This window comes from Homo sapiens, chromosome 18, assembly GCF_000001405.40.
Source record: "Homo sapiens chromosome 18, GRCh38.p14 Primary Assembly".
Taxonomy (NCBI): Eukaryota; Metazoa; Chordata; class Mammalia; order Primates; family Hominidae; genus Homo; species Homo sapiens.
This window is the reverse complement of record NC_000018.10, coordinates 65,492,091-65,507,034: the sequence shown is the minus strand read 5'-3', so window position 1 is coordinate 65,507,034 and position 14,944 is coordinate 65,492,091. Positions and strand designations below refer to the sequence as shown.

Genomic DNA, 14,944 nt, shown 5'->3' with positions numbered 1-14,944 from the left:
GCGAATCATCTCTATGGTATTTCTGTTTTTGGAAGTGGGTCACTCTTGAGTAAGCACAAAACAACAGAAAATATAAATTTTAATATTTTAATTAATAAAATATAAGCACTTATATATCACATTTTAAAGTATATAACATCAAAAAGTAATTCCTGTTGTTGCAATTTATAAGATTGAAATAATATTATATTTTATGTAGCTATAATGAATATCACCTGTCCAGAAACAATAAACCTCATTCAGTGCCACTTAATAAGCTATTCTTTCTGTTCTTTTAGAACAAAATTTGTATAATTTTCTCCACATGAGTTAGGATTTCAATTTTCTTTTCATGTCATTTTTCTTTCCAATTTACAGATGTTCTCCACCAGAAGGAGAATAATATGCCCAAGGAATCCAACCTCCAACTTTTCAGTGAAATATTTGCTATAAGCTATAATTTCCGTTCTGAGGATCTATCATAGAAAATTTTAACATAGGTACGTCAATCAAGTATTAAAAAATGAAAATTCTTTTCTTTACCATACTGAAATGGCTGGTTATTGCTTCTTTTGGGAATCAATGTTTTAAAGACAGGGCTTCAGTATCTTTTATTGCTGTAATAAATGTTCAATATTTTCCCCAGTGTTGAGTGAAAGTGGAGTGAACTTGAGTTTCCTTTCTCAATTCTGCAGTTGAAAATAATTGCTTTGCTTTTCCCACATAATTGTGGAAAAACAATTTTGACAAGAGACTAGTTCCTAAGTATTGAATATTGAAATTAATTAGCATTCACATTGCGTTGTGCACTGCCATCCCTGGAGAATTGTGGTAATGAGTATTCAGATTAACTATACCCACTAGGGACACCCTATACTATTATGCCTTCATGTTCTATAAATATATATAGTCCCTGAACAGTCAGAATATACTAAGGGATCAGTTATACCCACAAATCTAAAAGAACTAGAATATAGAAGGACATGGTCCATTTAACTATGCAGATCACAACATACTATGCTGGTACATCATAATATTGTCTCAACTAAAATTTCCAAGTGTCTGTTCTTGAAATTGGCATAACATAACAACACATTGCTATCAAACACTCCCATTTAAAACAGCAGAGCATTTGGTTTCATGACCCCCTTCTAATTAATTACAAGAATCATGCTTAGAAAACTGTCGATTTATCAAAGCAAAGTTATGGATATTGGCACATATAATTTTTGTTAGTGTATCCGTTTCACTTCTTTCCTACAATCTCAGCAAGTGTTGGCTAAGTTTCAAATTTAGTCAAAACATATGCTCCAAGTAGGATTTTAAAAATTAACCTACTTTGGTTTATTCAAAAACTGATTAAACAGATAATTAAAACTTATAGACACAGATTCCTGCTAAATTACTGTAGCTTAAATGAAATTGTGCAGTAGATTATTAGTGGCATGTACGCTGGTATAAACTGCATCAGTCACAGTGCGGACAACATACAAAGATTTCATGTTTCCTGTTTTCTACATAGGCTCCTAAAATGGCTCCTTTTGATATGAAAAGAGTCAGAAATTTGGACAATTTATGAATTTTTTTTTTTTTTAGATTTAAGAGCTCCTTTATCTCAAATTTTCTAAGCCAGTGCCACTGTTTATTATATCATTTCATCATGGAATTGATCATTAAGAAAATTCTATTTGCCTTAAGAATCCTTTAGTGCTTTAAAAAGGTAAATATGCTGAGAAAAATGTAAGAATTAAAATGGTCATTTATGGTAAATTGCCAAGATGCAAATTAGGTCTGTGGTCAAATATCTACTATGAATACTTTTTATTTGTATAACTCTCTGAATTTCAAACCATCTTGTATTACTAGGAAAAATGCAGATTTTTAAACTTTAAGTATTGTTGTAAGTACTAAATGAAATAATGTATGTGAGACTCCCTAGCACATTTCCAGGAACAAAATCTTGCAAGGTTAGTTTCTTTCATGCATTTACACATGGAAAGGTAACATGCAACAGATTAAAAAAAGAAAAAGAAAAAGCTTCAGACTTGATCTCTTCCATGTACGACTCTAAATTTGAGTAAGGCACACAATCTCTGATCCTGATCCTCAGATAGCTCAGCTTCAAAACTCAACAAATAGTCACTTTAGGTAACCATGAGATCAAACAAATAAGGTATACACATCTTCCAGAAATATTGGCATTTTGAATTCTCTCAAAAATTGTTATTGGCCTTTAAACATTATATATTTGCTCAACAGTCAGTATCATTCTACTTCCACATTCTTGTAGAAAGAAACTAATCATTGTGAATATCTCAATTATCCACCTTCCCTAGTCCAGCATATATCTATTAGAATTTGCTATATGCTTACATTGTTCTAGGCATTAAAGATAACGAGCTTGAAGCAGAACTACCCTAATGAAACTTACTTGGCCATACCAATCATAGGCAATAAGCAATACAATATCAGGTAGAGAGGAATACCAAAAATAAAGTTCAATATAGTACAGGTTAAATCGTTAAATGTTGGAGTATAATGGTTGGAGTGGCCAATGAAATACAGGTTGATCCAAAAAATATAGGAATTTTTCCAATGTTAATTACAAATTTTATAGAATTCCAATGTGATATTTATCTAGACAAAAAGATTCTAAAACTAATCAAAAAGAATAGTAAAAAGCAACACAGGCAAAGATAATTGCCCTAATAGAATATATGATTGAGTGATGTTATAACTCAATGGGAAAATAAATAATTATTCAATAAATATTACAGAGAAAATTATCTAAACATTCAAAAATTATTAATCATTTTCCCTTACATTGCATGCCATAATAGACCCAATATAAAATGAAGAGGCTTCAGTTAAATTGTAAACTGTAAATAAGAAGTGCTACTGAATATTTAGACAATACTCAGAAAGGATACTTTAAGTATAAAAACAATGAAATAAATAAAAAGGTAAAAGTAAACTACACACAAATTTGAGATTTCTGAACCTATAAAATACATGAAAAGATAATCAAATAAGCCAAAAATATTTATTATAGAAGTTTTAAAGTTGGATTTCTAAGATTACTGAGGTAAGCCTTACAATCTTGAGGTTACTTAGAATTATATTGACTGGGTATCCATTAGCCACATCTGACTATCAAGCACTGAAATGTGGCCAGTCCAAATTGAGAATTGCTACAGCGTAAAACACAGACAAAATTCTGAAACCTTGGTAGGAAAATTAAAAATATAAAAGATCTCAACAACGTTTTGTTGATTAAATATTAAAATAATACTTTTGACTTACTAAATTAAGTATATTATTAAAATTAGTCTCTCTTGTTTCTTTTACTTTTGTAATACAGCTACTAGAAAATTTAGCATTACCTATGTGGCACAGATTATATTTTGGATTGCACGTATCTAGAGAGGCAAGAACTATTTGGAAAAATTGGACCTACCAGGTTGCCTCATCTTCATTTTTCTAAGATATTATGTTAAGAGCCTTGATTATGATAATGATAACAGTGGTGATGATCTTGGTAATTTTTGCATCTTGACATTGTATCTTTATACCTTCTTATAATTTTGGTGTTCACCTTATGTTTGCTATACTGATGCTAGAATTTGAAAAGTCAAACATTTTGGCTTCATAACAATGACAGCTTCCTGATTTTCCTAACTGCTATGAAATGTTAAATGGCCATGGCCAAATAACTCAAGAATTTCATATTCTGTATACTTCAATGAAAATAAAAATGTTTACTCATTAACTCTAAATAAAACCATCACCAAATTAGTTGTAAATAACTAGGCAGAGAAAAAATTATAAGTTGTATCATTAAATTTTTATCTTATTCATTAAGAAAAGAAATGCCATTTGGGGAAGGACTTATTCAGTCATCTCTGAGATTTTCAACTGTCTGTTATTGCATAAGAGATAGATCTGTATAATATGAACCTTTAAGAAGACAGCTTGTATCTGGGAATTATCATGACTTGTGTCACTCCTACTTCCATATATTATCTTAGTTATTCCAAATTAGCCACAATGACTAACAAAGCATCACAGTCCTGTTAACCTTTCATAGTTTGGTAGAGAATCTAATGAACAGGCAAGGAACATTTAATTCACCTTGATTAAATAATTGCATCTGTGAATTTGTGTAAAATTATGAATAGAACTGAGATGTAGACAAAATTATGTATGAGGATGCTGTCATTGCTGTTGTGGCTGCTGTTATTTTGTATTATCTTGATGCAGTTTTTACAACAATAGGAAATAAATTATGCGAACACAAAATTTTAAATTTGAAGCATAGTTAATGACATGAGAAGATTAAGTATTTTAAAAATTATTCATTATCCAATTATCTAAACATGACCACATATAATATTTTAGTTATGTATATTTACATATGTGTGTATTTCTAAATACACTGTTTTAATGTACATATCATTTGCTACTGTGTTTCTTTACATATCAATCAGTATGCAGCCTCCATTGTAGCGAGGATTAAAGATGATGCATGCAAAACACTTGTGTCGTCTCTTCCAGAGAGTAGCCTCTCTAAACTTCAGGAGATTCCTATTCTTGCTCATAATGTTCTACATTTTTTTCATATTACTGGTATATAATATGCTTGCTTAATAATTTTGGTTGCTTAGACACTGAAAACTAAGATTGGTTCAGTTTAAGTTAACTCATTCCAACTACCTAGCCCATAATTTCTTTCTTATTATTTAATGGCATATACAATCATCTACATTACTTTGGGCTGCTTTTAATAGAAAACTGAATACAATGGCTTAATGAAGTAAGGGTGTATATTTCTCACCTAGAAAAAAAATCAGAGGCAAGAAATCCATGGCCAGTGCTCCACTATGTCACAAGGACCTGGTCTTCTTTTCTGTTCTAACATCTTTAGTTTGTGAATTACGTTCCCATCTGACATGACGGTTGCTGTATTTAACATTCACAATTGAAGAGGAAGTAGAAAGACAATAGCCGTTTGCTCTAGCTGTATGATGTTTTTTGTTTTTGTTTTTTTAAACAACAGGAAGAGGATAGCACTTTCAGCTGTTTCATAGATTTTAAATGAAAAAGTAGACTTTCCTGTATATAATTATCCATATGTAGGTCTAATTTCAAACAAAATGAAATCTGTTATAAAAGAAGGGAAAAGAATTGAATATTGGGAGACAATGAGCAGATAGTTTAGGGTGTAAACTGTGATAATCCAATCTACTAACAGACTTTTATTAATATTTTTGTACATTTGAACCAATTTTCTCCTCTATTAAATGATGAAATAATATCTATCTCTCTGAGTGGTTATGCGAAGTTAGTAAGGCAGTGTCAATCATCTAGTGAAGCAACTGATTCATATTGTGTTCCCATTAATGTGCTGATTGACATGAAGAGTTAGATTTCTGAATAAATAAGGGTTTATGTATATTAAGTTTCTATAGTTGTTCTTTGGTAGTACATGAGGTTGTAATTAATAAGCATAAAAACGTATTCTAAAATAAGTGGATGTTGTTAAAGGCATATGATGGGTAAGGTAAAAAATGTCTTTCTTATTACTTCCCTAGAAAATATAATTAAGAATTAGCACTAAATATATTCAGCCCTTACTATGTCTAGGAAAATTATGATAATATAAAATATTGAATACTACACAAATATACTTTATGAGCCTTTGAACATTTATTTGGGATATAATTAAAGAAAAATGGCAGAATAAAATATATACTATATTAACCTACATTATTACTTTTTAAGTTTATTATTTGAAAGCATTTACATAGCATGTATATATCAATTCATGTAATTCACAGAGCATATCGGTTGTCCAATAAAAGTCTTTTTATAACTTGGATTATGAATTTAAAAAGGAATATGTTTTATCAAGTACCTATGAATGGATCCTTGGTTGTCTTTTATAAAGAATTCTGAAGTTCTCAGAAAATGGCATCACATAATTGAAGCTAAAACAAAATCTAGTAAGAGTGGACAGAAAGTGTCAAAAGGCAATACAGCTTTCCAAGTTAAAGGGTAATATAGAATCAGAGAAGAAATGAAGTGGCTAAATCCGTCAGCCACTTTCCATTGTGTCCAGTCTTATTTGATATGAATTCCCTATGATAAGCCACTTGAGTATCTGTAATAATTTCCCAACAGGTCTCCATGTCTTCACATTCTATGTTCTCTATATTCCTATCCTCCAAATGTTTACAAAAAATATTATTACCATTATTATATTTAAGATAGCATTATTTGACAACTCATGTTAAAAAAGTCAGATTTTCTATTAACAAAGAAGATTATTTAATTTATCCAATATTCAAGATCCTTTCTACTTTGTGTTTAAATTACCTTGCTGGTCTTATCTTCTAGTGTTTCATTCCTCTCTGGTCACAGCAAACACTTGGGAGACTCACTGGCTTTGCTGATGCTATTTCATCCTGTTTTATTCTATTCCGTCTAATTGGCATTTCTTTCCACTCAATTTAGCCCATTGAATTTTTTTGACAAACAGCCCAAATTTGCTACTTTTTTGAATCCTTTCCTGATTTTGCTTGGCCAATTTAGTTACTCTCTCCTTTGTGATTCCATCATATTTTATTTATATTTACAATTGCAGAATTTATTATAATCTGACATGCTTTCTAGTTAGCTAAAAAATTGCCCCCTCTTCTACTAGGTCAAAAGCTATTATTATTATTATTATTATTATTATTATTATTATTAATTTTAATCACCTAGTACCTAATTTGAGGATACATGCACAGCAGAGTCTTATAAAAGCTTATTGAATTGAATTAATATTCATAAATCTATCCCACCCAGACAGTTAACTTAGTTTTCTTTTAATATCTACTATTCTGGAATCAGTGTCCATTTGCTATTGTGACAAATTGGAAAGAATATTCATAAAGCCTTTCCCTTCAAGTTCATACTGCTGAATATTCTAAATGCCACTTCCTGCCTTCTGCTTACATTATCTGTTTTCTCAAACAGTTTCATCATTTTTAAAAATTACAAAATTCCAAGTAATTTATAGTACATTTCATAGGATTTCTGCTTTCTTCCAGGAATGTCTCTAGTAAAACTTAATATGTCTTCTATCAAATTAACTCATTTATATTCATTCAGTAAGGAATTTCCATATTGATCTCTCCTTGAAAGTTCATCTTGTCTTCTTTCAGTCTCTTTGCACTCAGAATAGACATGAAACTGCTGCCTCAACAACTTATCAAAATCATTTCCATCCATGAAGATTGCAGAGAGAATGAAAAACTCCAGTGTTAACATTAGGCCTTATTTATCCTGACATTTTTCCCTATGCTTATATTTGGCTTAGAAGAAGCCAAATGTATTCAGAGACTTATGTATTTGGCACCATAATATCTAGCTTAGGGCCAAAATTCTGTTGTTGACGAAGATGAAAAGGTCATTTAATTTATTGGAACTTTTGTTTTGACATATGTAAAATGTAAGAAATTCAGATAATATTTATGCTTTCTCTTAGAATCTCTTTTTTTAAAAAAAAACTGAATTAATGTTTCAAGGTTAATACTAGAAGCACAAAAAATTACATTTAAAAGGCTATGTAGTAAGTCATTCTTAAAGTCTTTGACTTATAGAATACCAGAGTTGGGAGGGAACAAAGAGTTCTTTGTCTAGTCTTCCTCCCTATGGCAGAGATGTTACACATTATATCCAAACTAGGCAGTCATTTTCTATCAGCAAAATAAGTTCTGTAGCAACAAGTTTATGACATCAAAACTTAATCTGTTCCACTGCTGAACAGGATGGATTACCAGAAAATCCTTAGACCTTGTAATTTTCATTCCTATCTTTGAAGTATCTGTAGTTAAAGCATCTAGAAATCGCAAAGAATTTATCTCTAGAACTATGGAATAAGATCCATGGTCCTCACCTTGAGTAGACAGAGATGTACAAAAGGAGCCCTTTTAGCCAGCCATAACATCATTTGTGAAAAGCAAAAAACAGGATGTCTCTCATTCTAAAATTCCATATCCTAATCCCAAGTACTGTAAATGATGGGATATCACTGTGGTGATTAGGTTACATTATATGGCATGGTTGATCAGTTGATCAAGTGGGCCTGATCTAATCCTATGAACCTTTAAAAGCAGAGTGCTTTATTTGGCTGGTGATAGAAGGGGAAGTGAGAGAGATTCAAAGTCAAAGGACTTGACATTCTTTTGCTGGTGTTGAAGGGCTCCACTGAAGTAGGAGTACAGGTGGCTTCTGAGAGCAAGGGGGACTCCCAGTTTACAGCCAGCAGGGAAAAGGAAATCTCAGTTTAACAACAGCAAGTAACTGACTTCTACCAACAAACTGCATGAGCTCAGATATTTCTCTGCAGATCTTCCAGATAAGAACTCAGCCCAACAAACACCTTGATTTCAGCCTTGTAAAACCCCAAGCAGAGAACCAACACGCGATGCCAGATTTCTGACCTACCATACCGTGAGCCAATAAAATAGGTATCATTTAAGCTAATAAATTTGTGGAAATTTGTTACATAGTAACATAAAATCCTACCTCAGTTAAGAAATAATATGTTACAGAGTTTATTTATAAACGAGGTACTAAAAAAAATAAAATTATCACCAAGGTACCAACAGACTTTCCCTCCAAGGAAAATATTTTCAATTAAATTGTAATCATGAAAATTGTAATATGTTGGTTGTAAAGACTGATATTTCATGTGAAAAAAAGCATAGCTGTTTAATCCTTAGAATTTTCAAAGAGAAGTTGTTCATATTCTCATGAACAACATTGTAATTTTAAGCAGAAATAAATTGAATAAAAGCAGTTAATCCAACTGGATAGTTTTTATTTAAGAATAACAGATACTTTGTGGTCAAATTTTATAGTCACAGATAATTTTCTGATTTGTAAAGGACTATTCTTATATAAAAATTGCATTGCAAACTGAGAATATTATAGAGAAGAAAACATAGCTAACCATTATTGAGCAATTACTATGGACCAGGAGCTGTTTTACTCATTTTAAATGTATCTACTCACATAGCCCAATAGATTACTATTATTATAATATAGTATAATTTTTATTTTACAGATGAGAAAACTGAGACATGGAGAGATTACTTCTCTACAGGTACAGGAGTAGTGTCTGGTAAACCTGGAATGTGAATTTAGGTTCCAGAATCTGTGGAGTAACCACTATTGTTATTTATGTGTGTATGTTACCTAAGGAGATAGTTCTTCATAATTTTATAAACAATCAGAACATAAAGGTAAATATCCTTTTAGCTTAGGCAAAATTATAAACCATATAAAAAAGATATAATCCCCAATAATATTTTTTTCTCCATCTCAAATCATTATATTTTTCGTGGATATATTGAATTATCTTATCTTACTTTCTGTGGCCAAAGTACCAGAGTAATATGCTTCTCCTTAAGCATTTTAAAAATATATTCCAGGTACAGAAAATCACACAAAATAAACATCTATAGCTCAATAGTTTGTCACAAAGAGAACGTTCATATAACCACCAGCCAATTGTGACAATAAAACATTTCATATTTTTAAATTTTTCATTTTCTTTTAGGTAATTAATATATTTATATTTAAAATTGTAATTTCTTATTTGTTCTATGAGTTATTTAGAAGTGCATTATTTAATATGCAACAAGGATTTTCTAGTTATCATTTTTATTAATTTTTAGTTTAATTTATTTTCAGCAAGATACGATGATGTGTATGATTTCCAACATTAAAAATTATTTATAAAGACCTTCTATATGGCACAACATATGGTCAACTTTGGTAAATGTCTAGTGCATACTTGAAAAGAAAGTACACTCTGCAGTTTAAGGAGTGCGATATCTTCACCATTAATTTTACTGATTGTGACGTCCTAATCTTTATTTTATCTTTACTGATTTTGGTGTCTTTGTTTATGAGTTTTTGAGATAGTTCGAATAATCCTTCTAAAATTATTGGTTTGTTTATTTTTCCATTGTTTATGTCAGTTTTGTATGATTATAAAACTTTATAATTTCTTAACTAAGTAAATTCTTCAGCATAATACAATGTCTATTTATCACTAGTAATGCTTTTTGGTTTGATGTCTATTTTGACATCAATATTTTCATATTAATAAGTGTTTGCAAAGCTTATGCTTATCCATTCAGTTTTATTCATATATCTTTATATTTTAGACATTTCCTTTGTAAATGACAAATAATTGAGAAAATTTTATACTGTTTTACAATCTTTATATGCAATTTGAGTGTAGAGCATATTATTTACATTAGATACACAATTTAATGACTTTTAAAAAGTCATTTATATTCATATAATCTTTCCCTTTTTTCTTACTTTTTTGTCTTCTTTTGAATTGATCATATTTTTTTTTATTTTTTGTTGTCATTAATTGACATTGGTCCACTCTCTTTACTATTAAAAGTGTTCTCATAAATTACTCTATGATTATAAAAAATACGGTTTTAATGTTAGTTGGGACCATTCTATTTACTTTAAATAGTATACATTACATAGCAATACATACACTTGATATATGTCTTTATTATTGTTGTTATGTGGAATCAACATTTATTTATACCTACTGTTTTTCTTGCTCATCATTTCTTCATACATCTTTTAGCTTCCATCTAGAAAGCTTTGCCTTCTTGAGAAGATCCCATATTCTCTAATACTTTACTTAACATATGTGTACTGGTAATATCATGGTATAGTATAATTTTTGGCCAGGAAAAGTCTTAATTCTATTCACATTTTCACAATATTTTAGTATGAAAATCTTTAAAGAAAGAAAATCAAATTGATTTATAGTGAACAACCACACTTCTACTACGTAGATCCTGTCATTGTTAGGTTTAACACATTTACTTTTCCGCATATATATCTATTCACATATATATATATATATATATATATATATATATCCATCAATGAATTTTATATTTTGATGCATTTCAAAGTAAATTGGTTTCAATAAAATGATTCAAATGTGTTCTAAGGTCTTTCATAGTTCACATTGGTTTCCAGCTTACATTACTTCTATGATGCAATATTTCAGAATATCATCCAAATTAATAGAGTTTACTCAGACATTTGTCTCAGTCTTGGACTCTGACTATTGTCCCACTAACATTGTGAGGCTGCCATAACTGCAGTGCTTAACCTTTGGCTCTGAGCTTTTCAAGTGCCTGCTCTGAGATGTATCATGCTTCTAAGAGGAAACTGACCTTGAATACTGGGCTCACTCCCTATACCTCCATCCTACTCTGAATCCTGTCCCAATAACTCTTAACTATCTTGACAGATTTCACATGACTTTAAGTACTTTTTAAACTTAATATTAAAACATTTCCATCTTTTCTAATTTTCCACAAGTGTTGTTTACCCATTTCTACATTGGTCTACATATAGACCAATGGAAATATAATCTTTACATACCTGATATGCATTTGCCCAAGATGATAGATGCCATTTCTAGTTGGTATTATCCCCTCACTTACATATCAAAAAGAATCATTAAGTTCATTAAACATCTTCATTTTATATTCACATATTGGTATGGATGATTGATAGGATACTTTCCTTGGAGTCAGGTCATACGAATGATAGGTTAGTAACTTGTTCACCCTAAACAATCTATAAGAACAAGGAATATACTGTTAAAAGCATTGAATAGATAACAACTCTTCTGCTAACAAAATCTCTAGCACTTGTTTGTCAGGTGGTCTGTTATTATTATGCTCCCCAGGGAATTAGATCAGGTCTCCTGGCTTATTTCTTTCCTAGAAATGTTCAGAGCAAACAAAGAAATGACCATGGACATGCTGCTTAATTCCTTCCAAGAAATGCTGACATCTTGGTAATGGTGACACTATTCAAAACAATGATGTCATTGGCGAAAATTTCGTTCGCAAAGTAACTTGCACATAACTTGGACTTTGCAAGCTTTTTTTTTTTTTTTTTTTGGCTCACCACGTATACACAGATGTCCAATCTACAAGACCTGACCTTAGCAATTACTTGTGTTGTACAAAGATTAAGCAATGCCAATATCTAGACCACATCATATTCAGTTTTGTAATCTCAACATCGGCCACAAAAACTGGCTTATGTTTTCTGCTCAAAGAAATGTTCAAAACTATTTATTGCTGAATTTGTTTATTTAATGGAGAGATAATTTAAGAAATGAGAAATCCATAGTAGTCTTAAAAAATAAAAAAGGTTGTGGTTTTATTCTCCTGTGTTATCATCACATTTGACCACTAACACAGTGCCACATTCTTCTTAGGTGATGAAGAGGTCATTTTAACTTCTACAGCCAGTTCAGGAAGAAAAGAATAGTAAACCCTTGTTATTTTCTCTCATTCACAATAATGCAACCTTACAAATAGGAAGTTTTAAGTTCTATTCTACTTACTTTGAAATTCTGTGTAATTCTTCAATATAATATGTTTCATATAGAAATTGTCAATTCATCAAAAGCAAAATTCCAAGGCATTATTCAAAAGGAAAAAAAAAAACATATTTGTTGTTGCTGCTATCCCAAAAGTAATCAAAGGAGGTACAAAGATTTGGCAAAGCTATCCGTAAAGCAAGTCGAAAGTAGCCAAGTATCCTTTGGAAAAAAGTAAAAATTGTTTTTTATGTTGATTAACTCAAATTAGTTTAACATTTTGAATATACCATAACACTAAAAATAATGATTGTGATTCTGACATAACTTATATCTCTATATTCTGAAAGGACAAGCTTTAGTATTATTTTTTAAGTCTGATTAAAACATACTTAACATGACAATGAAAGCTTTTTTTCAGTTTGCTATTTAATGAGGAAAAAGTTATGATACTCTTAGTATGTCAGAGGATATGACATAAATTATTTCCAAATAAGTCACTTTCTCACCTGTGGTGATTAATATGTACAATTCATCATTATTCCAATGTATATATTTTTAGTTATAAGCAACATACATTTTCCAGAGAATTAATCATGATTAAGATTTAGAAGAAGTAGAGAGGAAATTTAGCAAGACATTTAACAGCTTGGACACTGGAGTTACAGTCAGTTGGACAAGAATTAATAGATATTAACTCTGTGAACTTGGGAGATTTGTTTTTCCTTCCTGAGTCTCAGTTTCTTGATCTATAAAATTAGGATAATACCAGCAGCAACTTAATTTGATTATTTGAAGAAAATACAAGGAAGAAATAAGAGTAAAGTAGCAGATAGATAGATGATAGATAGATAGACAGAGAGATAGATAGACAGATAGATAGAAAAATCTATCTTTTTTAGGGTTTGTGATAGATATCTATCTAGCTATCTATCTATGTATCTATCTATCTACAAATCTATCTATCTACAAATCTATCTAGATATCTGGACAAATCTATCTATCTGTCTATCTATCTATCTGTCTATCTATCTGTCTATCTATCTATCTATCTCAAGCACTAAAAAATGTAAACTCATGCATTCAATGTAAGTATGCAGAGAGAAATGTAGTAGTTGAGTCCCTAAATCTCTAGTCACACAGTGACTCTGACAAGCAATAGAACTTTGTTCACTGTACTTACCTGAAGAATTAATCTTTCCAATACGATTTTCCGTTTCATTTTTCCAACCAGTTTTTATTTGTTTGCCTTTGATCCTTATACCCAAGATTTAGAAAGTTAAAAAAAGCTACAATATTCTCAATAAGTTCAGTTGGCTTATTTTAATAGAAATGGTAGAAATGCCGTATTTAGGGCATTTTCTTACATTTTTATGAGCACATAATCCAATTAAAAAGTCATAGTGCTTTTTCAGAAAACAAAACCTTCAAAATATTTTTCTGGCAATAAATTAAATTGACTTCATGACGCAATGTAAACAATAATGCATTATGCATTTTTTAAAACAACATTTTTAAAATTTAAAAATGACTGAGGCCGCGCGTGGTGGCTCACGCCTGTAATCTCAGCACTTTGGGAGGTGGAGGTAGATGGATCACCTGAGTCCAGCCTGGCCAACATGATGAAACCCCGTCTCTACTAAAAATACAAAAATTTAGCTGGGCATGGTGGCAGGCACCTGTAATCTCAGCTACTTGGGAGCCTGAGGCAGGAGAATCGCTTGAACCCGGGGGGCAGAGGTTGCAGTGAGCTGAGATGGTGCCACTGCACTCCAGCCTGGGCAGCAAGAGCAAAACTACATCTCAAAAAATAAATAAATAAATAAATAAATAAATAAAATAACTGAAAATTGTTTTAAAGATAAATCTATTCACACTTTTTGCTAAATAACAATTTCTAATTTTTTAATTCCTTAAATTATGTGCATAAAATGATTTTAAAAAGCAGAGTTACTTAGGATTATTAAAATTGTGATATTTTGGCTTTGCTTATTTCATTAAAGCCAAGACATCTACATGATTTAATTTTGTAATTTTAGAAAATTGCTATACTTTCTGCAGATATATAATTTGCAAATTTGATACAGATAAGTGAAGAACATTGTTACTTTGAGTGTTTTCCAAAGCTTTGAACCTTATCAATAGAAAAATAGAGGAAAATAATCTGCTGTTTTAGTTCATCAATCAATATCTCTGTTCTGATATGATCCACAGTGTTTCCTTAATGTGCCTAAATTATTAAACATCTGTGTCTGTAGAAATTGAAAGATTTCCCTACAATTGACTCAAATTATAACTTTATTTTCTCCCTCATACTGTTTCCTCCTTCTCCCCACTCTCCATCTTTTCTCCTTGTCTTCTAGAATTCATCCTTCTTTCCCCCCTTCTCCTTATCTTCTTCTTCCTTTTGAAAATATTTTTGATGAGAAAAATGGCCACTTAGTAACTCAAACACATATTAATAGTTATTTATTAAAGGGAAAATCAATCTCATTCAATTGCATTCAAGTCTCTTCAGATTTCATG

The 14,944-nt window shown here is 30.7% G+C and overlaps 1 long non-coding RNA gene across 1 annotated transcript in view; it reads left to right on the top strand.

The window, feature by feature from the left end:
* The first annotated feature begins 362 nt into the window (after positions 1–362).
* LOC105372169 (uncharacterized) overlaps positions 363–14,944 on the top strand; it is a 41,781-nt gene continuing 27,199 nt past the window's right edge. Inside the window, exons 1-3 of the long non-coding RNA XR_935583.2 lie at positions 363–479; positions 8,375–8,495; positions 9,095–9,133. This is a non-coding gene — a long non-coding RNA (uncharacterized LOC105372169). The remainder of the gene's footprint in view (positions 480–8,374; positions 8,496–9,094; positions 9,134–14,944) is intronic.